General features: G+C 42.9%; 1 protein-coding gene across 10 annotated transcripts in view, besides 3 other annotated features; it reads left to right on the forward strand.

Moving 5' to 3' along the window:
- Window positions 1,824-1,873: a silencer, noted in NCBI's record as "silent region_2175". NCBI's record gives its function as "represses an Ori minimal core promoter by ATAC-STARR-seq in GM12878 lymphoblastoid cells {active_cell/tissue: GM12878}" and the evidence as "EXISTENCE:reporter gene assay evidence [ECO:0000049][PMID:35858748]".
- Window positions 1,949-25,635, forward strand: part of PTER (phosphotriesterase related) — an 82,011-nt gene continuing 58,324 nt past the window's right edge. For 5 of the 10 annotated variants that reach the window (XR_007062018.1, NM_030664.5, NM_001261836.2 and 2 more), the window contains exon 1: window positions 1,949-1,986. Coding sequence is in view for 2 of the 10 variants with exons in the window: in XM_047426006.1 (XP_047281962.1) it covers window positions 2,607-2,684 (78 nt within the window). In the remaining 8 variants the exon portion in view is untranslated. Of the gene's footprint in view, window positions 1,987-2,295; window positions 2,685-25,635 lie in introns of all 10 variants that reach the window. The other 5 variants (XR_007062017.1, XM_047426006.1, XM_047426007.1 and 2 more) reach the window with 2 other exon arrangements.
- Window positions 2,294-2,473: an enhancer, noted in NCBI's record as "active region_3097". NCBI's record gives its function as "activates an Ori minimal core promoter by ATAC-STARR-seq in GM12878 lymphoblastoid cells {active_cell/tissue: GM12878}" and the evidence as "EXISTENCE:reporter gene assay evidence [ECO:0000049][PMID:35858748]".
- Window positions 2,494-2,543: an enhancer, noted in NCBI's record as "active region_3098". NCBI's record gives its function as "activates an Ori minimal core promoter by ATAC-STARR-seq in GM12878 lymphoblastoid cells {active_cell/tissue: GM12878}" and the evidence as "EXISTENCE:reporter gene assay evidence [ECO:0000049][PMID:35858748]".

The raw sequence follows: 25,635 nt of genomic DNA on the forward strand, positions 1-25,635 counted from the left end.
TCAACTAATCTGGGTCCCTAGTCCTATCCTTGAACAAGGTGCTTGCCTAAGTTTGTTTTCTTGTCTGTAATTGGAGGGAAATAGCTCCTGCCACATGCAGGTTGCTCAAAATCTTAAACAAAATAACATACACCCATTACAAAACCTGGTAGAGTTGGCCCCGATAAACATCATCTATTAATATTATTATTAAAACTCTACTTTCCTTTGAAATGACATCTGTAGCTTCTGCCCATCTGCATACCTATTCTCTTTTTTCTCAGAATTCAGGATAAAATTAATTGACTAGGCCTTGTGCTGTGGCTTATGCATGTAGTCCTAACACTTTGGGAGGCTGAGGTGGGAGGATCCTTTGAGCTTAGGAGTTTGAGACCAGGCTGGGCATCATAGCGAGACCTCCATCTCTACAAAAATTACAAATATTAGCTGAGTGTGGTGGTGCACACCTGTAGTCCCAGCTGCTCAGGAGGCTGAGGCAGGAGGATCCCTTGAGCCCAGGAGTTCAAGGCTGCAGTGAGCTATGACTGCACCACTGAAATCCATCCTGGGCAACAGAGCCATTTCAAAATAATAATAATAATAATTGATGACAGTGTAATATGGTTGGGGTTCAGAAAATGATACCCCAAAATGAAGGCCTTAGAAGCAGCTCTCTCTAACCTCATGTCCTCCTGCCTCTGGCCCCTCATTCTAGAAACTGGAATCCCTCTTCCCCAAGGTGATTCACAGAAGCCAGAACCCCTCATCCCCAAAGCCAAGCATAAAACCTAAAAGTTTGACTCTGCGTGTCCCCTGCCTTTCTGTGTCAAAACTGGCGGTAAAGAAATTCTCTGCCCTGCTTTGTTTGACTGTAGGTCATAAGACCCCCATTCCAGAAAGGATCCTGCTCTATACCCAGAAGGAAGGAACACTGCACAGAAAAGCCAAAAAGAATCTAAACAGACAGGGCTTGCTCACTTAGTCTATTGGCATTAGCTCAGACCCTTTTTATGCCATCGTAGTATCTCTTAGGTTGGTGCAGAAGTAATTGCGGTTTTTGCCATTAAAAACCGCAATTACTTTTGCACCAGCTGAATACATGGCGGTCCATACTTTATTGAACCTAAGCGAAAAAATGGACCGTTTCCCCTGCATCTTTGGGTTTTCATTCTGAAGGCTCCCGGATCACATAAAGTTACGATCTAGTATATTTGTATGCCTTTTCTACTGTGAAACTGTCTTTTGTCAGTTGATTTTCAGCAAACTTTCAGAGGACGAAGGAGAGGTTTGCCCTTGGCCCCCTACAATACCTAAAGGTATGACTCTTTACTGTGGCAGCTGCTCCAAGCATCATGTTTTGCCAACAGACTCACACATACTAAGTTTATTTCAGTCACAGCAAGTACCAGGGCCAGTTCAAGTGCTCTAGCACGGCACTCTAATTCTAAAGAGAAGGAAACGCGGCACCGGGGCAGGAAACAGTGACAAGTGGGAACACAAAAACCAAAGTTCTCCGTATGCAGCATGAGGATCCAGAACCCACTGTGACATCAAATTGCCAGAGCACCACCTCCGATTTATTCTTGGGGAAAACCAAAAGAGCTACGGAATGCTCCCTTGTTCCAGACTGTTCTATGGAGAACTGGGATCTGGGGAAAATGCAACAGTTTCTTTCCGTTTGGGGATCTAGCCCCGAATTTTTTTCATTCAGCCAAACTACCGACAGTCAGACAGCGCCTGCAGGAGGGTGTGGCCAGGCAAAAACGCGGGGAACGGCCCCGGACCAGGGTGGGGCGTGGCAAGGGTTTGAAGGGCGTGTCCTACGAAGAGGTAGGGCTTGGCAAGGACCCACGGGGCGTGTCCTAGGACTCGGTGAGGGCGTGACCTCGGGCCAGGGGCGGGGAGAGAACCAGAGGGCGAAGTGGGAGGGCACAGGGGAGACTAAAAAGGCCAGGGAAGTTGGCCTGCCGGAAGTTCCCAGGGAGAAGGCAGCGCGTTGTACCCGAGGTAAGGCTTCTTGGAGTCAGAGCAGGAGCCGGAACTGTGGGCCCAGTAGGAAGAGTGGGGCCCGACGGCGGAGGCCGCGCGGCCAGGGTTCGCTGCAGAGCTCCACGCGAGGGTCCTGCCGGAAGGAAGGATTTTCTAGCCGCTGCGCTTGGGCCCTGCCGCCTCTCCTTAAGTGCTTGAGGGACGTTGCAAAGAGCGCCAGTCCCGTGTGGCGCCAGCTCCCTGTGGCTCGACAGCAATGCCCGGGGGCGTCATCGGGTAGCTGTGCTAAGCCTCCTTTAATAAGCTTTTTTTTTTTTTTTTTTTTAGATTCAGGGTCTGGCTCTGCTTCCCAGGCTAGAGTGCATTTGGCGCGATCACAGCTCACTGCAGCCTCGACCTCCTGAGCTCAAGCGAACTTCCTGCCTCAGCCTCCTGAGCTTCCTGAGTAGCTGCGACTACAGGCACGTGCCACCATGTCCGGTTATTTTTGTATTTTTTGTAGAGAGTGTCTCGCCATGTTGCCCAGGCTGGTTTCGAACTCCTGGGCTCAATCAGTCTGCTGCCTCGGCCTCCCAAAGTGCTGGCATTACAGGTCTATATTTTTTGACAGTTTATAAAAGCCAATTACCAGCGGTCATATGTCTGAGTCCTGTGCACTCTTGCTTAATCCACTCTGCAGCCCTGTGAAGGATTCTAGTGATAACGACAAAGCTAAGGTACAGAAAAATTAGGCCACACTGCTGGAAAGTTTAGAGATGGAAACAAAGTTTAGAGGTGGAGTCTTTCTGACTCCACAGCCAGTGTGCTGTTACTCTCTTAGACTACCTCATTCTTTGTACATCCCAAGTCAACAGGAACTAAAGGTATACCCTTACATAGGCAGTAAGAGGGGTTGCTGATTTAAAGAACTTTGGACCCAGAAAGAGTAGAGCCCTATTCTAGTTCTGGTTCCAGCTCAGTGACTTTCTACAAGTTGGTTTTCTTTTGCTTTTTTTAAAGACAGAGTCTCGCCCTTGCCCAGGCTGGAGTGCAGTGGTGCGATCTCGGCTCACTGCAACCTCCGCCTCCCGGGATCAAGCGATTCTCTTGCCTCAGCCTTCTGAGTGGCTGGGACTACAGGCGCGCTCCACCACACACAGCTAATTTTTGTATTTTTAGTAGAGACGGGGTTTCACCATACTGGCCAGGCTGATCTCGAACTCCTGACCTTGTGATTCACCCACCTCGGCCTCCTAAAGTGCTGGGATTACAGGCGTAAGCCACCGCGCCCGGCCTCTTGCTTTTTAAGACTAGGTCTCATTATTTCACCAAAGCTGGAGTGCAGTGGTGCTATCACAGCTCACTGCAACCTTCACTTCCCCCGTTCAAGTGATCCTCCCAGCTCAGTCTCCCACAGGTGCACACCACCACGCCCGGCTAGTTTTTATTTTCTGTTTTTTGTTTTTTTTTTTGTATTTTTGGTAGAGACGGGGTTTTGCCATTTTGTCCAGGTTGGTGTCAAACTCCTGGGCTCAAATGATCTGGCTGCCTCGGCCTCCCAAAGTGCTAGGATTACAGGCGTGAGCCACTGCGCCTGGCCTGCCTGTTTTCTAGACACATTAAGGTGAGTGGTCTCAGGCCAGGCGCGGTGGCTCACACCTGTAATCCCGGCACTTTGGGAGGCTGAGGCAGGTGGATCACTTGAGGCCAGGAGTTCGAGACCAGCCTGGCCAACATGTGAAACCTCTTTTCTTCAAAAAATTAGCTGGGCATGGTGGTGGGCATGCCTGTAATCCCAGCTACTGGAGAGGCTGAGGCACGAGAATTGCTTGAACCTGGGAGGCAGAGGCGGCTGTGAGCTGAGATCACACCACTGCACTCCAGCCTGGGTGTCAGAGCAAGACTCTGTCTCAAAAAAAAAAAAAAAAAAGGTAAGTGGTCTCTAGGTCGCTAGTGGATGTAATAATCTATGGATTTATGAGGATAAGATCCTGATTTTACCATTTAATGATATTTTGGGCCAGTTTTTTTCCTTTTTAATTGGGCAGCCCTCAAACCAGAATAGATTGAGAGGGTCTTCCAGTTTTGGGTCATATTTGCTGCTGAAATTACAAGGTAGTCAGGAAGGGTCTGTTTATTCAATCAAAGATCAATAAATGTGTATTTTGGAGGTCAGTAGCGGAGTATCCAGCCAGAAGGTGGCTAGTGAGACAGGAGGAAAATCAGGACAGTGGCTTTTCTGGAGGGACTTAGGGAAAGATCAGTTTCACTGGGCAAATTTCCCCTTCCCTGTGAAGGACAGAAAATACCTTCAATATGGCTAAAGTGAGAAGCATTTCTGAAAAAAAATGCAATTTAATATCCTTTGAAGTGTCAGTAAATTTTGAGCCAAATAGAAGCAGAGAGTAAGAGAACACAAAAATAGATCATTTAGAATCTGGAGAAGTACATGACCGTGTACTCAGTGCCAGGACTTGGCCATAGGATCCCTGTGACTATTTTAAGTTGAGTAAGCAGCCCTGATGCAAGAATTTTAGAGATTGTCTCAGTTTTAAGCTTAAAGACAAAATGATGAACTGTATAGCATGAGAGGAGCTTGGTAAATGTCCACCTTTGCTTCCATGTGCAAAGTGTTCATACAGGACATACATACATACAGGACCCATTCATACAGGAGGAATGTTTATCCTTAAATATCTTCTTTTTAAAATATTTATTAGTTTATTTATTTTTGTAGAGATGGGGGGTCTTGTTTTGTTGCCCAGGCTGGTCTTAAACTCCTGGGCTCAAGTGATCTTCCCACCTCGGCCTCCCAAACTGTTGAGATTACAGGCGTGAGCCACGGCAGCCAGCCAACTTCAAATCTATTAAATGCCCTAGTAAGCCATATAGTAATAATATTGAGAATTTCTGATCAAGCTCGAGTCTGCTCAGTATCCCTATGAACTTGACTGAGGTAGTTGTTGAATATATTTTCATACATCAAATGTGGCTTTGTTCTGTTTTCTTTAGCTGTTGTTTCTAGTGTATTTTCAGTGGTCCAGGTTTTCCTAACAAGATTTTTTTTTTTTTTTTGTGGCAGGGTCTCACTCTATTGCCCAGACTGGAGTGCAGTGGCCCTATCTTGACTCACTGCAACCTCTGCCTCCCAGGTTTAAGTGATTCTCCTGCATCAGCCTCCCAACTAGCTGGAAATATAGGCATGCACCACCACGCCCAGCTAATTTTTTTGTATTTTTGGTAGAGACGGGGTTTCATCATGTTGATCAGGCTGCTCTTGAACTCCTGACCTCAGGTGATCCACCTGCCTCAGCCTCCCGGCATGAGCCACCACGCCCGGCCCTTAATAACACTTTTATAACAAAAGGCTTCTCATTCATAGACATCATCTCTTAAAAAAAAGAAAAAGAAAAAAGAATAAGAAAAATAAAATATCTGGTTCCATTTGGCATAAACTGGCTCTGTGGTTGTACCTATTTTGTCAAAACAATAACCACCTGAGTACAAATACCTCTGTGCCTGCTCAGCGTGAGAGCTGTGAATGTTAGCCATTTCCCTGTCTCCTTCCAGGCAGGTATGTCCACGTGACTTGTTTGGCTAACGAAACGCAAGTGGAGTGACCTGTGTCACTTCCAGGTAAAACTGTGTTAAAAGCCAGTGAAAGATTTGTCACAATCACTTTCCCTCTGCCGCAGTGACCATCCAGATAGAGGCAGTGGTCTCAGCCTGGGTCATAGAGGACAGTGAGCGGAGCCCCCTGCCTTCCTGTGTTAGACGTATTCGATGAGCTAGAAATAAACTTTTGTTGTGGTCAGACCCTGAGATTCGGGGATTTGAGTGTTACTGTGGCCTAGCCTGGTCAAGCCTGCGTAATGAATATTATCAGATAAGCTGCATGTATGCGGGGATTTCTGGCTCTGGTTTACCAGATACCTTGGGAGCTGTGGGGAGGGCCCTGAAAGAGGCTTGTCCTATGAATCATGCTCCTTTTACTGTGTGGGAGATGGCAGGTGTGCTGTTCCCATCATGCTCCAGTCTGCTTTGTGATTTTAATCAAGAGTGGCAAAAATGGCGTTTAGATGTTTAATTGCATTCTGTAAGGGCAGACCATGTTAAAGTGTAAAATAGGTAAAGGCTGTATGCCTGGAAGGGATAAGAATCAAGGCTTTCATTTTTACTTTGAAAAACACAATTTATATATTTTTAACAATTTTCAGTGCACTTCCAAGTTTTCCAATACAGAGGAATGTTCGTGGGTGAGTTGTGAAAAGATGATTCTTCCCAAATGCAGTTATCAGTGGATACATTTCAGAAATTATTTTGTCACTGAAGGACATTTGAAATGAATCATCCGTACTTACCATTGACTAATACGTTTTTTTTCAGGCAGCTTCAAAGAGTATTTTAAATATGATTTCCTGGCTATCTGATTTCGGATCTAAGAGTATCAGACTTAGGTTTTGCTGTTAATGTCCTAGGGGCAGTGTGTTCACTCTTTTATTCTGAGTTAAACAGAAGGCAAGCCGGGAGCATTGTGCTTTGGACAGAGCTGTGCTGCATTCTTAGGGGACACTGGCTATAAATCCAGTCTCCCTAGAGGTTAACAATCAAAGTTCTCCCCTTATTATAGTCAGGCGAGTGATATGATGATGATAAATTGCTTGGACGTGACTGGCCCAAGCACTAGTGTGATGAATTATGTTGTTCGGGGCATGACCGAAGATCTTCTATTGTCAGCTGGCAATGCTAAGTATTGGCAGTATTCATAAATAGCCTTTTGCCAATGGTGGTCTCTGCTTTACATATTAAATTCTCTGTTTTCACAGGTTGTGGTTCTTAGTCATCTGTGTCCTCCACTGAATTCACTTACATAATCAGCCTTTTTTTTTTTCCTGTTCCCTACTTATTAAACGGGTGGGATGTGCTCACTTGTGTATGGTAAACACTGAGTTCTTTCTTCACAGAAACTGTTAAAAGAGTAATTATTAGTTCTTTTTACTAAATCCAGAGTAATAGCAACTTATCTTGCAGTGGCTTAATTGGGTAATTATTTGGTGTGTGAAGAGCACTTTGAAGAGAATATTGGTAAATATTGTTAATTTCGTGCTCTTTTATGTAACTGAAAGCCCATTGCGACCACAAAATCCTTGGTGTTACTGTGTACCCACAAAATTTCTTTCCTGATGTGGCTTACTATTTTCCAAATTATTTGTTTGTTGATTTTTAAAAACATTTTTTAAATTTTCATAAATTCTCAAAGTTATCTCATGTTTATGCCTTGACAATTCGACATGTCTCATCTCCTACATTCTTGCATATCTGAAAGGTTAGATGTTATCAGTCTTGCTCTCTAACAGTTTGGAGGACAGATAAAGCCCGACCATGTAATTGAGAAATTGAAATAAAGATTTATTTGGTCAGAGCCCATGCCCTGAGCTGTCATCTGATTGCCATCAGAATTTGTTTAAAAGTGTTAGGTTGGCCATGCACGGTGGCTCATGCTGTAATCCCGGCACTTTGGGAGGCCAAGGCGGGAGGATTGCTTGAGCTCAGGAGTTCAAGACCAGCCTGGGCAACAGTGAGACTCCCATCTCTATTAAATAAGTAAATAAGAATTAGGTTGACTTGCATGTGCCTGGCCAGCTCTTTTGACAGATTTTCTTCTCACTTTATAAATTCAGAGCCTGCAGGCCAGGCGTGGTGTCTCATGCCTGTAATCCTAGCACTTTGGGAGACCAAGGCAGGCGGACCACTTGAGGTCAAGAGTTCGATACCAGCCTGGCCAACATGGCGAAACCCCATCTCTACTAAAAATACAAAAATTAGCCAGGCATACGTCTGTAAGTCCAGCTACTCAGGAGGTTGAGGCAGGAGAATCGCCTGAACCCGGGAGGCGAAGGTTGCAGTGAGCCAAGATTGTGCCACTGCATACCAGCCTGGGTGACAGAGTGATACTCTGTCTCAAAAACAATAAAAATAAGATGAAATAAAATGTAGAGCCCCCAGGTGTAATTAAGGGCCATTTCTGTAGCTTAGATTAGATGACCTTGATTACTCACTATGTTTGTCTTCCTAGGGCTGCCATCACAAAATACCACAAACTGGGTGGCTTTAACAACAGACATTTATTTTCTCACAGCTCTGGCAGCTGGAAGTCCCAGATCAAGGTGTCAGCAGTGTTGGCCTCTTCTGAGGTCTCTCTCTTTGGCTTGTGGATGGCCGTCTTCCCTTTTATGCATGTCTGGGTATTGATCTTTTATAGGGACACCAGTCCTATTGGATTGAGACCTACCCTAACAACCCCCTTTTAACTTAATTACTTCTGTAAAGACTATCTGCAAATACAACCACATCCTAAGGTGCTGAGGGTTCGGGCTGCAACAGACAAATTTTGCAGGGAGATACAACTGAGCCCAAAATGCTCCACTGCAATAGTAATGGTCTGTTTGGAAGCTACTGTTTTTGGAGTTATTTTCTTTGATTGTTAAATTTGACCTTCCAAGTGATGACTACACATCTTTGGAGAATCTCCTCAGTTCAGGAACTTCTTTTTAACTAACATTACTTGGAGGAGAGCTTAATGCTCGTGACTTTAAACATTTATGTAATTAGGTAAAAAGGGAAGCAACATTATTAAATGACTTGGATAGAGTTCATCAAGCAGTTAAGAAAAAAATGTACATAATCAAGCGTACCTTGCAGTCTGAATGACAAACATCCAAATATTTGCTGTAACAACTCGCACATATTTTTACCAAAAATTTCCTCTCCGAATCAGAAACTTACTATGATGAGTCCATGTACTTACGTGTACCATCAAAAAGGGCCAGAGGATCGCTAGAGTATGCTGTGGTCCTATCTGCTCTTTCTATAAAGTGGTATCTTGTGCTCATCTTGCTTAAATATGTTGTGTCTTACAATTATCACGATACTATCAACTGAAAACAGAAAGGTCTGTGAGAAAAGATGTGAGCCTAGGAAGCTAAAAACTTTTTCTTTTTTTTTTTTTTTTGAGATGGAGTCTCGCTCTGTTGCCATGCTGGAGTGCATTGGCGCGATCTCGGCTGACTGCAACCTCTGCCTCCCGAATTCAAGCGATTCTCCTGCCTCAGCCTCCCGAGTAGCTGGAACTATAGGCACGTGCCACCATGCCCAGCTAACTTTTATATTTTTAGTATATTTTCAGCATGTTGGCCGGGATGGTCTCAATCTCTTGACTCGTGATCTACCCGCCTCGGCCTCCCAAAGTGCTGGGATTACAGGCATGAACCACCGCACCCGGCCTCTTTTCTTTTTTTTGAGACGGTGTCTTGCTCTGTCACCCAGGCCGGAGTGTGGTGGTGATCATAGCTCACTTGAGCTTCTGGGCTAAAGCGATCCTCCTGAGTAGCTGGATTACAGGTGCTCAATACCTCAATACCACGCCTGGTTTTTTTTTTTTGGACAGAGGACCTACAGGGAACTTTATTCTCGTGCTTTTGTCTTCACTGGGGCACTACCCCTCGGGAAGACCAGGTTGGCTCCTGGCACAGGGATGCACCTGGTTAATTTAAAAACATTTTTTTTTAGAGATGGGGTCTCACTCTGTTGCCCAGGTTCGTCTCCAACTCCAAGGCTCAAGTGATCCTCCCACCTCGGCCTCCCAAAATGCTAGGATCACAGGCATGAGCCACCACAACCAGCTAGCAAAGCTCTTATATTCAAAGAAATATTGGGGAATGTGAAGGCACAGAAGGCCTCAGTTTGACATTATCTGTCCATATCTATAATGCATACTATCTTTGCTTCTGACGAGCTTTTACAATGTTCCCTCAGAATAGAATAATAGGGTTTTTTTTAATCCTTAAAAGAATCTTACGTAGTAAATTGGTAGTCAGAAATATTAGAGGGTTGTTACATGGGTATGTAAGAGTATATAAGTAAAACTTGGGGTTTTGAATGGGCTGTAAAACACTTTTCTCTTTAAAACTGTTTTAAGTGGAAATGTATTATTGAAGCTGTGTGATGGATGAGTAGGGGTTCACTACACTGCACTCTCTACATTAGCGAATTTTTGAGAATGTCCATATTAAAAAGTTTAAATAAAAGTTATTTTTTAAAAAGGAGAATAAATGAGTGAAATATATGGCCTCCTGTGAGGCAAAATTCGATACCTATATAAGGGACACATTAAATGAGGTATGCATGCCTATGTTAGACAATATTAAGTCGAGTATGGTTTTAACTACCAATCGCTCTGTAGAAAAGTGTTGTTGAGGCTGAGCGTGGTGGCTCCTGCCTGTAATCACAGCTACTCAGGAGGCTGAGGCAGGAGAATGGCTTGAACCTGGGAGGCGAAGGTTGCAGTGAGCCTAGATCGTGCCACTGCACTCTAGCCTGGGCGACAGAGTGAGTGAGATTCCATCTCAAAAACAAAAAAGAAAATTATTATTGAAACCCTTATCCAAGAGTAGCTGGAAGAGTATCTTTCCTAGTTTTGGCCTAGATTATTTGAGACATTTTTTATTTATGCTTCTCTGGCATATGACATGTCTATTACTTCCATGAGTCAGTGCCTTTCTCCCAGTTAGCATTTCCCAGGCTCTCAGGCTGCAGTGTCTCCAAGCTCAGTCTTTGATTTCAGAGCCTATTAGCCATGGCACAAATCCGGTGAACACAGAAACTTACAAAGAGGCCACTTGTCTCCGATGCACTGATGCACCATGCGTGGCTAGTGCCTTCTGCCCAATGTCTTCTCTGAAAACATTCCCTGCTGTTGTAGGAAGGATCCTACAGGCTGACACCAAGGAAGCCATGCTGTCTCCTGGGTGGTCTTCAGAGGACACTGCCTCCTGAGGGGCTGACATGGCCAAAGCCCATCCAAGTCCTCTCAGCCTCCATATCTAGGATGAGAAGTTGTCCTGGGCCTGTGAGTCTCGCTCACATTTCTGCATAAGTGTCAGGCCTGGCATAGATGATTCCCTTTTGCTTTGGTGCTGCTTTGAGCTTGCCCCGTTATCATTTAGTAAAGTGCATCTTCAAGAGTGTTTCTCTTTCTCCTGTGTGCCAGATATTTCGGAGCAGCTCAGTGCATAAGTGGTAAAGAATTTGCTATTTCCAATACTGACATTACTGAGACTTTGACTTGCAACCATAGTTGATCTTGAATGTTCGGGGGTGGGGAGAAGGCTCTTACAAATAGAGGTGCAATGCACGCCACCCCACCCCCAACATTTTTTTTTTTTTTTGAGATAGAGTTGGTCTGTCGCCCAGGCTGGAGTGTAGCAGTGTGATCTTGGCTAACTGCAACCTCCACCACCTCCCGGGTTCAAGTGATTCTTGTGCCTCAGCTTCTTGAGTAGCTGAGATTAAAGGCGTGCACCACAATGCCTGGCTAATTTTTTGTATTTTTACTAGAGACGTGTTTCCACCATGTTGATCAGGCTGGTGCAGTGCCCCTTGTTGATGATCATTCCTCTCAAGTGTTATCTTTTCACTCTTTGCCTGTTAGTGTAGTTAGATAGAGAGATCAAACTATTTCAAGTTAGAAGTTCAAGTTTAAAATGTTCTCCATGAAGACTCTACATAGTCCCATTTGTGTATTGAATTTAATTGTTAGATTTGTTATATATATTAAAGAACATATGCAGTTTCTTAGCATTAGAAACATTTCATGGACTGTTGCTACTCGTTATTGTTGCCATGGTGAGGTCAAAACGCTTAATTTCTTAATTCTTTCTTTTCTATTTTGATAGACCACCAAGATTGTAAGACATTTTTGTTTGTTTGTTTGTTTGTTTTGTTTTGTTTTGTTTTTTTGAGACAGGGTCTCCCTCTGTTGACTCGGCGAGAGTGCATTGGTGCAATCTCGGCTTGCTGCAACCTCTGCCTCCTGGGTTCAAGCAATTCTCATGCCTCAGCCTCCCAAGGAGCTGGGATTACAGGCGTGCGCTACCATGCCCAGCTAATTTTTGTATTTTTAGTAGAGACAGGGTTTTGCCATGTTAGCCAGGTTGGTCTTGAACTCCTGACTTCAGGCGATCTGCCTCCCTTGGCTTCCCAAAGTGCTGGAATTACAGGTATGAGATAGCATACCCGGCCTTTTTTTCTTTTCTTTTTTTTTTTTTTTTTGAGTCAGAGTCTTGCTCTCTTGCCCAGGCTGGAGTGCAGTGGTGCCATCATAGCTCACTGCAGCCTTGAACTATTGGGCTCAAGCGATCCTCCCACCTCAGCCTCTCAAATAGCTGAGACGACAGGCACATGCCACACCTAATTTTTTTTTTTTTACTTTTGTAGAGATAAGGTGTCACTGTGTTGCTCAGGTCAATGTCTTGAACTCTTGGCCTCAAGTGATCCTCCAGCCGCAACCTCCCAAAGTGCTAAGATTACAGGTGTGAACCACTGCACTAAGCCTGTAAAATATTTTTTATGTGGAATTTTCGTAATGCATTATGTAGTGACACCAGTTTTTTTGTTAACCTGTTTTCACTTCTCTGTTTTTATTTTTGTGTTAGTAATAACTTGGTCAAAATAGGTTTACATTCATTATTACTATATAACATAACAATTTCACATTAGCATTAAGGACAATTTTTTATAAGTTGTTTCTATACAAAGAATGATGTATTAAATTTTAGACCTTTTATCTATAAATATGCGAAAGCTTTGTAAGTGGCTATACTATCTCTGACTATAAGGTCTTGGTCCATATTCTTTACACCATACATCGTATTTATATATATGCCTGCATATATTCATGCCTGCATATTGTGCAGAACCACCTGTGAACCAGATCCTAGTCTTCTCTTCCTCTGTCAACTGATCATAGGGAACTCCCCATGATACCATTGGTGCAGGCTGGGGAGAGAAGGCAGGGTGGCAGGATTGGAGACCATGGGCATTTGAGCCACTTCCTCACATAACTTACTTGTGTCTTCAGGACCCGTTCGAGCCCAATCACTTATATACCACTTCCATTTGATGATGGAATGCTGCTGTGTACACCCTACTTTCTGGTTGGATGGGTCAGAAAGCACTGAGTTCATGATAAGCAGTTCAGGTCACATGGTGACTTGATGACCCATAGTTAAACGTTCAGTTTCTACCAAAGCCCAGTAACTGGCCAAGAGCTGTCTCTCAAAAGGACACTAGTTATCTGCAGAAGATGGCAGGGCCTTGCTCCAAAATCCCAGAAGCCTCTGCTGTGATTCCCCTATGGGAGCCTGCCAAGGGCTCCAAACAGCATCCCTGTCTGCCACTGACAACTTGGGCACCATTGGATCTGCTGGGTCATATGGTCCAAGTGGCAGAGGAGCTTGCATAGTAGCCTGGACCTGTTGCAGAGCCTTCTTCTGTTCTGGACCCCACTCAAAACTGGCAGCCTTTCAGGTCACTTGATAAATGGGTGGGAGTAACACACGCAAATGAGGAACGTGTTACCTCCAACAGTCTAAATAGGCCCACTAAGCATTGTGCCTCTTTCTTGGTTGTAGGAGGGGCCAAATGCAGCGACTTGTCCTTCATCTTAAAAGGAATATCTCGACAGGCCCCACACCGCTGGACCCCTGGACATTTTACTGAGGTGGAAGGCCCCTGAATTTTAGTCGGATTTATTTCCCATCCCCTGGCATGTAAATATCTCACCAATAAGTCTGGTGTGTTTGTTACTTCTCATTCACTGGGTACAATCAGCATAATGTCATCAATGTAATGGACCAGTGTGATAAGTCATGGAAGGAAAAAGCGATCGGGGTCCCTCTGAACAAGATTATGACACAAAGCCAGAGAGATGATATACCCTTAAGGTAGGACAGTAAAGGTATATTGCTGGCCTTGCCATCTGAAGACAAATTGCTTCTGGTGTGCCTTATGGATAGGAATGGAGAAAAAGGCATTCGCCAAGTCAGTGGCTGCATTCTAGGTACCAGGAGATTTATTAATTTTCACAAGCAATGAAACCACATCTGGTACAGCAGCTGCAATTGGAGTCACCACTTGGTTAAGCTTACAATAATCCACTGTCATTCTCTAAGATCCGTCTGTCTTCTGCACAGGCCAAATAGGAGAGTTGAACAGGGATGTGGTGGGAATCACCACCCCTGCGTCTTTCACGTCCTTGATGGTGGCACTAATCTCTGCAGTCCCTCCAGGGATGCAATATTGTTTTTGATTTACCATTTTTCTAGGTAGAGGCAGCTCTAATGGCTTCTATTTGGCCTTTCCCAGCATAGTAGCCCTCACTCTACCATTCAGGGAGCCACTGTGGGGATTCTGCCAGGTGCTAAGTATGTCTAAGCCAATTCTGCATTCTGGTACTAGGGAAATTACCACATGGTGAGTCCAGGGACCCACTGGACCCACTGTATTTCAGACCTGAGCTAAAACTCTATTAAAAGATGTTCTTCCAGCTACTCTTGGATAAGGGTTTCAACAATAATTTTCTTTTTTTTTTTTTTTTTTTTTGAGACGGAGTCTCACTCACTCCGTCGCCCAGGGTACAGTGCAGTGGTGCAGTCTCGGCTCACTGCAACCTCCGCCTCTTTGCTTCTGCTGTCCATTACAGTAACAATGCCCACCTTGTCTTTGATGGTTGAGTGTTGCCACTTGCCCTCTGCCACTTTAGGATCCAGTTATTCCCACTGCATTTAAATTTTGTAGTTGAGTGACTGGTGTTCCCACTGTAAGATCTGGCATACAAAGAAGAGCAATCACAGAGCTCTTCAAGGATGCAGGTGCTCCTCTCACAAATCTATTTCACAAGGTATTGGTGAAGGACATATCTTCTGGGCCCTCCCAGCTGGGATGGGTAGGTCTAAAGTGACTAATCCACTCTAGCATCTTAATCTCCCTAAGCCCTTGGATCCCTTCCTCTACCTTAAACCAAGGGAAATCAGGCATTTCTAGCTCACACACAGTGGGTCATCTTTTGATTCACATTTCAGCTAACCAAACAAATAAACTCTTAGAACCTTTTCTAACACCCTGAGTTGCAACATTAAATGCAGAATCCCTGCTTAGTGGGCCCAAATCAGTAAGTTCAGGCTGATCCAACTTTATGTTCCATCCACCATTATCTCACACCCTTAATATCCATTCCCATGCCTGTTCTCCAGATTTCTGCCTATATAAGTCAGAAAAGTAAAGCAATTCTTCTGGAATGTAGCGCACCCCCTCATGGGTCATACTCTGAACCTCATCTCTAGGGGCCTACTGGGACTTTAGTCTAGTTACATATCTAGAAGCAAACGGGTATTGGGAGTGGGTCCTGAGGAGAATTGACATTGTCTTGCCTGGCAACTGCCTCAGGAGAGGCCATCACTGTTGCCTCAGGTAGTGCATGGTTAATCTCCTCAGACAAAGGTGGAAAGGCTGATGGCAGTATGGGTGGAAGAGGGGATGTTGCCATCACTGGGGATGGGGAAGCTGTTTCCTCTGGTTAAAGAAAATAAAAAGGCTCATAAGAGTTTATAAGCTCGGTGTCCCCAGTTTCATCTGGGTCATCCCACATGTCCCCATTCCAAGTTGCAGGGTCCCATTCTTTTCCAGTCAATGCCCTCACTTTGACAGGAGACATCTGATGAGACTGAGCATCCACCTTTCATTGCAGATCAGCCACTCACATGATAAAAGCTTGTGTCTGATTTTCCACAATTTCAGCCCTTTGTCTACAGGAGATAAGACTCTCCTTCAGGGCAATCTTAGAAGAGGCTCAGTATGTGCTTCTGGAGCTGGACGTTAGAATCCCTGAACTCATCCTTTGCTTTCATTACCTTGTCCAGCGAACTAAGTAGCAACCAACCAACTTTATTGTATTCCTTGGTTCTCCACATATGGTCAAAGGTATTATGTACAGAGTCACTAAACCCCTTGCCCCTCATGAGTGGTGAATCAGGAGTATCAAATGCATCTATTTTGCATAACTCTTTAAACAGTTTGCACTAAGGACTATCAGCGTTCTCCATACTATTAGAAGTAGAGTACTTAGCATTTTTGGATGTCGTTAGATTAAGCAGTCAACTCCAGAAACCCCAAAACGCACTAAAGAACTCCATCCTTAAAATTCTGTCTGTGACCAAAGGCCCAAGAGCCCCTGGTAAACCGCTGGTGTAAGTACAAGAGTCCGAAAGCTGAAGAACTTGGAGTCTAATGTTTGAGGGTAGAAAGCCTCCAGCATGGGAGAAAGATGAAGTCCAGAAGGCTCAGCAAGCCTGCTCTGTCATCTTCTCCTGCCTGCTTTACTCTAGCTGCACTGGCAGCTGATTAGATGGTGCCCACCCAGAATGAAGGTGGGTCTGCCACTCCCCGTCCACTGACTCAAATGTTAATCTTTGCCAACACCCTCACAGACATACTCAGGAACTATACTTTGCATCCTTCAGTCCATCAAGTTGACACTCAATATTAACCATCACAAGGTTTGAGAGTTAAAATTGGCTAATATGCTGGGCGTGGTGGCTCACGCCTGTAGTCCTAGCATTTTGAGAGGCCAAGGTGGGTGGATCACTTGAGATCAGGAGTTTGAGACCAGCCTGGCCAACATTACTAAACCCTGTCTCTACTAAAAATACAAAAGAAAGTAGCTGGGTGTGGTGGTGCACTCCTGTAATCCCAGCTACTCAGGAGGCTGAGGCAGGAGAATCACTTGAACCCGGGAGGCAGAGGTTGCAGTGAGCCAAGATTGTGCCACTGCACTCCAGCCTGCACAACAGAGTGAGACTCCATCTCAAAAGTAAATAAATAAATAAAATAAAATTGGACAGTAGTTTTCTCTGCCTAATTAGAAGTCAGTCTATATATCTGATGTGTTGGGAGGGTTATTACCCCCCAGAAAAGGATTTCTTTCATAGATGAAATAAAATGAATTCGTTACAAGACATTGTGGAGATGTTGCTAAGCCCTTTAATTTTTGGAAACTCAGTATAATTTTCATCAGTTCTTGTGAAACTTGATTTATGCTCGTATCATCTTCCAGAGTGTTGGCTATGCCTGTGTACTACCTTTACCACTAATTACTTAATAGTTTTTCTTTAAACCAATCCACTTTTTTTACTTTAGCTCCATCCTAAACAATAATATCTATGAAATCACAGGCTTGCAATGTTGATTACTTTCTTTTTTCTAAAACACATTAAAATAAATAACAACTTGTTTAAAAAAGTTTTAAATGCCCATATATCACCTAAAATCAGTTTGAACCACCAGTGGGATACACACACACACACACACACACACACATATATATACATATACATATATATAATATCACAGTTTTTGAAAGCACTGAAAAAAGCCAAGCAGATTATTGACTTTTTTTGTTTTTTTTTTTTTGAGATTGAGTCTCACTCTGTCACCCAGGCTGGAGTGCAGTGGCATGATCTCGGCTCATTGCAACCTGCATCTCTCAGGCTCAAGCAGTGCTCTTGCCTCAGCCTCCCAAGTAGCTAGGACTATAGGTGTGCATGACCACGCTCAGCTCAGCTAATTTTTGTATTTTTAGTAGAGATGGGGTTTTACTATGTTGGTCAGGCTGGTCTTGAACTCCTGACCTCAAGCACTCCATCTGTCTAAGCCTCCCAAAGTGCTGAGATTTACAGGCATGAACTACTGCGCCCAGCTGTGACTTTTTGTTTTCTCTCCTCCTCCTCCTCCTTCTTCCTCTTCTTCTTCTCCTGCTGCTGCTGCTGATGATGATTCTCCTTCTCCTTCTCCTTCTCCTTCCTTTTCCTCTTCCTCTTCTTCTTCTACTTCTACTTCTTCCTCATTTATTATTATTGTTATTATTTTGAGACAGTGTCTTGCTCTGTCACCCAGGCTGGAGTGCAGTGGCATGATCTTGGCTCACTGCAACCTCCACCACCCAGGTTCAAGTGATTCTCCTGCCTCAGCCTCCCAAGTGGGTGGGATTACAGGCATGCCCTCACACCCGGCTAATTTTTGTACTTTTTTAGAGACGGAGTTTCACCATGTTGCCCAGGCTGGTCTCAAACTCCTGACCTCAAGTGATCTGCCTGCCTCAGCCTCCCAAATTACTGGGATTACAGGCGTGAGCCACTGCGTCCAGCCATTTCTTCTTATTTTTTAATATAATAGAGATGGGGTCTCAATATGTTGTCCAGGTGGGGTCTCACTGTGTTGCCCAGGCTGATCTTGAATTCCTGGGCTCAAGTGATTCTTCGGCCTCAGCCTTCCAAAGTGCTGGGATTATAGGCATGAGCCACTGCACCTGGCCAGGTTATTGATTTTTTTTAACACTTATTTCACCATCTACTAAAGAATAAAATTATTCTTGGTTAAGTTGGCACAAAATTTTCAGAGTAGTTTCTGTAGTTGTGTTGTGATTATTGGAAACTAAAAATTGTGCATATATACAGACACACATATATACATATATATAATACATATATGCCTAGATAGTGGATTATATGAACTTTTATTTGGGATATAGCCAGCCGTTTTCAGTTGCTTAGGCAGTCAGCATCACGTATTTGAAGGCTACTATAAAGACACCATTATTGTATACTTGCGCCTCTATTCTTACTCACAAGCAGTATGAAGAATGATAATAAATAATTAACAATCTGGAACTTCTGGGTTGTGAAGTATTTTTATTTCATGCATCTGTTAGTAATAATCTGTTGTTTATACTAAGTTTATAGTAAAGTAAATACTGGAATATGGTTCATTTAAGTATGGTTTGCCTAATGGGACATCAGAAAAAATTCATATAAAGAAAGATATCAATGGTTTTCACATTCCTTGTAACAAAATGGTCTGTCTGATTTTCTACTATACATATATCCCTGTTCATGTAATATTTAAACAGATGTGAACAAATGGAGAAGCTTCTGGAGAGGTCATTTAGAGCCCATGTAACATCTTTCCACATAGACTCATAGAACTTGTATCTGGAAGGAAGCTTAGAAATCACTTTGTTCCACTCCCTTGTTTTATTAATGAGAAAACTGAGGTCCTCAGACTAAGTGATTTGCCCAAATATGTGCTTCTGGCATATCAGCTGTGTCACATTTATGCAGTTGGTAAAGTTTTAGCTTTTCTTCCTCTTGGGGAAATAGTGATATGTTCAGAAAGCATTATGTCATCCCGTCTGTGTCTATTTTTTTGTGAGGGAGACAATTTTTTGGAGTACAGTGAAATAGCATCCACTTTTATTTTAAATTACAGAAATTCCATGGTCAACCAACTCCACTTCTAATCCATTTTTGAAATACAGTAAGTTAACATTAATTTTTGGTGGCACAGAACATACTTTATAACTACTATTATTCGTATAAATACAAAATTAACCTGCCAGGCACGGTGGCTCACGCCTGTAATCCCAACACTTTGGGAGGCTGAGGTGGGTGGATTGCTTGAGGCTAGGAGTTCAAGACCAGCCTGGGCAACATGGCAAAACTCCATCTCTACTAAAAATACAAAAAATTAGCCAGGCGTGGTGGTGCACACCTGTAATCCCAGATACTTAGGAGGCTGAGACATGAGAATTGCTTGAACCCGGGAGGCAGAGGTTGCAATGAGCCAAGATCACGCCACTGCACTCCAGCCTGGATAACAGAATGAGACTCTCAAAAAAAAAAAATTAACCTATTGAATTAGAGAATTAGCCTATTGAATCAGGAATTATTTGTGTTTCTAATATACGTGAACAAGAGAGAAAAACATATTTTTCTAAGCAATGTCAAGACATATAATATAATTTCCATTTTTATGGCAAGTAAGTATATGTACATTTAAACATTCCAAGTTCTTGATTTTTAATCTACAATTATGTCTAATAACAATAAATAATAGAACAATAAATACTAATATATAATAATAAACTGATAATAAGTACTATATAGTAATGAAATAATAAAAGCTGATAATCAAATGTAATAAAAGAACATTTTCATATTAATGCATAATGAAAACTGTACGAAATAAGTTACCTAAAGACTAAACTGGCCAGGTGCAGTGGCTCATGCCTGTGATCCCAGCACTTTGAGGAGCTGAGGAAGGTGGATCACTTAAGCCCAGGAGTTGAAGACCAGCCTGGGGGACATGGTGAAACCCTGTCTCTACAAAACATACACAAATTACCTGGGCATGGTGGTATACACCTGTAGTCCCAGCTATTAGGGAGGCTGCAGTGGGAGGATCACTTGAGCCTGGGAGTCAGAGGTTGCAGTGAGCTATAATCATGCCACTTTACTCCAGTCTGGATGACAGAGAGAGACCCTGTCTCAAAACAAAACAAAAAAAAAATGAATAAGCAGAGCTGTTCTCCTGAAGCATCAGACCAAGGGCCAGAAAAAAGAGAAACTTCTGAGCAGAAAAGTACTGCCCTGGCCCCAATAGTTTCCTTGGTTTGCTTTCCATATTTGCAACCGTGGCATAAAATGATTATCACGTGTCAGTGACAAATTAACAGGTGCAGTGACTCATGCCTATAATCCTAACACTTTGGGAGACCGAGTCAGGAGGATCGTTTGAGCCCAGGAGTTTGAGACCAGCCTGGGCAACATATCAATACCTCGTCTCTATTAAAAATAAAAAAATTAGTGAAGTGAGATGGCATATTTCTGTGGTCCCAGCTACTCAGGAGGCTGAGCGAGGTGGATCACTTGTACCTGGGAGGCTGAAGCTGCAGTGAGCCACGATCATGCCACTGCACTCTAGCCTGGGCAACAGAGCGAGACCCTCTCAAAAAATAAAAAGAGCAAGCCAAGAGGTAAAGGTTTAACTTCATCTGATACCTAAACAAGAACTCAAGAATAAAATAGCAAGTGCCATAGAGACTTTACCTATGAAGTGAAAAATAATTTCAAAGGAAGGACAGCTAATTTTGTGTTTGTAATAGGTTTATACTGGATTGCTCCACAGCTTGTTGGTAAAAGTAACTTTGAGCACTTAGAGAACACATCTTTATACTTAGTGTGTTCCAATTTAAAAAGTGTTATTACTTTTTTTTTGGAAACCGAGCATCTAAGTAATTCTGAGTTCTCCCAGGCCAACAGAAACTGAGACAGGGAAAATGAACAACCATCATCCCCGGAATGCTGTGATTTGCCATAACCAAGAAGGCAAGTGAGTTTTCACAGTGCAAAAGACGTTGCCAGTTGTTCATTCTTCTGTTAATGCTACCAGAGAGTACATATTCTAAATCTGTTCACCTGTGTTTTGAGACTCAAAGCAGCTCTAAAATACGTACATTCTTTCCAGTCAAGTTCACTTATCCATCCATCCATAAACATTTACAGAATCCTGCTATGGGCCATCCATTGTACTAAATGCTGTCTGTGATCCTGTTCTCACTTAAACATTGAGCAGAGATGATTCTTTAAGAGTTATGATAATCCTTCTGTAGTTCTCCTGTGGTGTCCCCAGAGAATGCCAGGAGATTAGAGGCCCCTCAAATGAACACAATATCCTGCCAGTCTCCGCAGTGTGCATCATTTGTCATTGACATAGGGTAGTCATTTTGCACTGTTGTTGCAACTATGAAAAGCAAACAAGGAGACTCTTGGAAGCTGGGCAATGCTGTTCTGCATAGGAGTTTCCTTTTTTTCTGGCTCTTGGTCTCAGGCTTCAGAAGAATAGCTCTGCTTGTTCTTCTCTTAGCAATAAAGAACAAGGTCCCACCTTCCATTCTCTCCACTGAAAGCAGTAGAGGTACCCGCAGGGGAGAAGAATTTTGCGCATTACCTGTTCTTGCTCTCTTCTTGGATAGGGCTGTGGCTGTGTCCATTGCTAGTGTCTTTGGTGGCTGATATGGTTTGGCTGTGTCCCCATCCAAATCTCATCTTGAATTGTAGCTCTCATAATTCCTACATGTTGTGGGAGGGACCTGGTGGGAGGTAACTGAACCATGGGGAAGGTGGGGGGGGGTTCCGCCATGCTGTTCTCGTGGTAGTGAATAAGTCTCACAAGATCTGATGATTTTATAAGGGGTTTCCACTTTCACTTGGCTCTCTCATTCTCTCTTGCCTGCTGCCATGATTGTGAGGCTTCTCTAGCCACGTGCAACTGTGAGTCCATTAAACCTTTTTTTAAATAAATTACCCAGTCTCGGTTATGTCTTTATCAGCAGCATGAAAACACCCTTCTTTCTTCCCAGAGTGAATTAGTGAATACAAAGGCTTCAGCGAGTTACATGCGCTTCATTTCTGCCTCATAGTCATTAACGCTTTAATACGTTTAACCCTTTAGTTGTTTTGTTTGTTTGTTTGTTTGTTTGTTTGTTTTTTGAGATGGAGTCTCACTCTGTTGCCCAGGCTGGAGTGCAGTGGCGCGATCTCGGCTCACTGCAAGCTCCGCCTCCCGGGTTCACGCCATTCTCCTGCCTCAGCCTCCCGAGTAGCTGGGACTACAGGCGCCCGCCACCACGCCCAGCTAATTTTTTGTATTTTTTAGTAGAGACGGGGTTTCACCGTGTTAGCCACGATGGTCTCGATCTCCTGTCCTCGTGATCCGCCCGTCTCGGCCTCCCAAAGTGCTGGAATTACAGGCATGAGCCACTGTGCCCGGCCCCTTTAGTTGATTATTAAGCATTTCTTCTTTAGGAAAGCCGTGTTTAGTTACTCTCACCGCTATGTAATGCCAGTTACTTCAAAGTACTTTGTTTTTGTTTTTTTGAGAAAGAGTCTCACTCTGTCACCCAGGCTGGAGTGCAGTGGCCTGATCTTGGCTCACTGCAACCGCTGCCTCCCAGGTTCAAGTGATTCTCCTGCCTTAGCCTTCCCAGAAACTGGCACTACAGGTGCGTGCCACCACACCTGTAGTGTGGTGGCTAATTTTTGTATTTTTAGTAGAGACGGGATTTCACCATGTTGGCCGCGCTAGTCTCAACTCCCAGCCTCAGGTGATCTACCTGCCTTGGCCTCCCAAAGTGCTGAGATTACAGGCATCTGCCACCATGCGGGGCCCTCAAAGTATTTTGTTTATCATAAGTGTATTCATTCCATTTACCTACATGCTGTATAAAATTTGTTATAAACCTGATTAAATTGCAAACTCCTTGAAGACAGGCACCATGTCTGCTTTTTCTGTCTCTAAGGTAGAGAGGGTCTGACCCAATTTATTAGTGTTGTATGAACTGTCAGCAAACAGAAAGAAAAACAAAACAAAAGAAACCCTATTATCTTGTGGAAAGACCTTATATTCAATTAAAGATTGTAGGAAGACCTGACTGCAAAATGGGTTGAACTTTTGAGAAGTGAAATGTTTTGCTGCTGCCCAGCACTTTTTTTTTTTAAGCTCTCATATCACAACTTGGCTCCATCACAATTAATCTTATGTGGTAATGCAGTGACAATGAGATGATTTCTCTGGAGAATCTATGCTAATACTATTAAAATGCTCTTACAATGTCAAAGTGATTGCAGTGTATGCATGGGGGGACTGTGCTTATGCGATTATGATATTATAGTGATGGGCGATTACCATAGGAAACTACTAATTCAACCCTGCAGGGACTTGCATTATGAAGCCATTAGAACAGGAGATTATAATGACACAATAACTTAGATGCACATTCATGATGTGAAAACCAAAAGCTAATTGGAATGCAAGTCATATTTCCGTTAAATTGTAATTAAACACTGAAAGCAATGCTTGTTTAAATTTGAGACAGAGACGTGCAATCCAGGAATGAAAGTTGTGGGGAAGGAGTGCATGGCGAGTGTAAGCTTAGAAGTATCTAGAAACCATTTGCAACTCTGCCCTTTAGTATTTACTGGGTGTGAAAGCTGTCACTGAAGCTGCTTCTCCAGATTTGCTCCCTCTCTGCTGGTCCTCTAAAGCAACCAAAAACAGTACCAAGACACAAGAAGCGTGAGTCCAATTTCCATTCCTATCACAACCACTAACATTGACAGCCTTTTTGTTTCATTTTTGAAGTGAGCATAAAGCACCTTACCTCCCTCAATACAAGAGACTAAAGCACAATTTTTTCCATGAATAATAACCTTTTATATATACAACAAAATTAGTCCATATTCAAAATCAGACAGAACAGATAAGTGCAAAGGGAAAAAAGATTTTTAAAAAGCCTTAAAAATTCTACCCCCAGAGATGACCTATATTAGCATCTCTGGGTATTTTCTTTCAGACTATTCTCCATGCATAGTATCAATGTATTTTTCTTCAAAAATTTGCATTCTACAACACTTTTAAAACCCACTTAGTGATTCTTCTCACCCCTTCCAGTCGCAAGATCTATTTCTTATCCAAGAGATTCCAGTTGATAAGTTTTGTTTGTTTTTTAAAGGTCAGCTGAAGCTGGACGATTTTACGTGTCACTTGGGCAAGTATATTTTACTATTAGAGAATCATACTTGCAAAGGTTTATACTCTGCATATATCAGTTACAGGGTGGGTCTATAGTAAATTCTTCAGATTCTACCAGCAGTGCTGTAGCTACTCCACATTTGTCTCTGTTTAAGGAATCAATGGGGCCTTTGAGAAATCATAGGGCTCTAATTTGTTCTCAAACTGATAATTATTGTACGGTTTAGATAAATATCGATTATTTTTAAAAAACTAGGAACATTTAGGAACTACAGGACTTGTTAGATACACCCCTGCATCTGCTAGTTCAGATGTTTTGAGGTCACACAGCAGCTCGTATGTATTCCCTCCTAATTATGACTCAAACTAGTTCTTGCTCCTTGGTCTAAATATAGTTGAGTTTTTGTTAGTAAGTATTTGCTTTGCACTTAGATATGCTGTATATTTCAGAGTTATTTATTTATTTATTTATTTATTTATTTATTTACTTATTTGAGACCAAGTTTTGCTCTCCTTACTCAGGCTGGGGTGCAATGCACCATCTTGGCTCACCACAACCTCCGCCTCCCGGGTTCAACCGAGTCTCCTGCCTCAGCCTCCTGAGTGGCTGGGATTACAGGCATGCGCCACCATGCCTGGGTAATTTTGTATTTTTAGTAGGGATGGGGTTTTTTCCACGTTGGTCAGGCTGATCTCGAACTCCCGACCTCAGGTGATCTGCCCGCCTCGGCCTCCCACAGTGCTGGGATTACAGGCAGGGGCTGCTGCACCCAGCCCAGGGTTATATTTATTACCCCTTCTTGCAATGACCAAATGAAGAAGACAATTTAAATTACTAGAGTCTTATTTTTCTAATTAGGAAAAGGAAAGCACACTGCAGTTAAAGGGCTTGTTTCGTGTCATTCAGTGAACAGTGGAATTGAGATTAGGTCTTCTGGTCCTGGGTTAGCATAGCCTCTTTTTTAGGCTAAGATGTGATGTTACCTTGGGTTAATACTTCTTTATTAACAGAGACAAGAATAACTAATTTTGATGTTCATAGTAAATACCTACATAGTTAGTAAAACAAACATTGGACAAGTTGAGAGACTGGGTTCTAGTTTAGGCTATCTGACCTTCAAAAGATTAAGGATTCCATTTTAGCATCTAAAAATGAAGTCATCAAATTAAATGATCTCCATAGTTTATTCCAGCTCAAAAATTCTAAAGTCAAATAGTATTTAACATTAATTGAAATGCAAATATTTTTATTTTAAGCATTATACATTTTAATACTTAATAATATATTTTACCTACTTTAAAAACCATTAATCTCAATTTAAAACCAGTCCTTACTTGGATGACATTTAATAATTTGACATTTTTTAGCAGTAGATTTGTAATTTGACTTAAACTTTCTTTTTTTATTTAAGAAATGTATTAAAA

The sequence above is a fragment of the Homo sapiens genome, chromosome 10, assembly GCF_000001405.40.
Source record: "Homo sapiens chromosome 10, GRCh38.p14 Primary Assembly".
NCBI classification, from domain to species: Eukaryota; Metazoa; Chordata; class Mammalia; order Primates; family Hominidae; genus Homo; species Homo sapiens.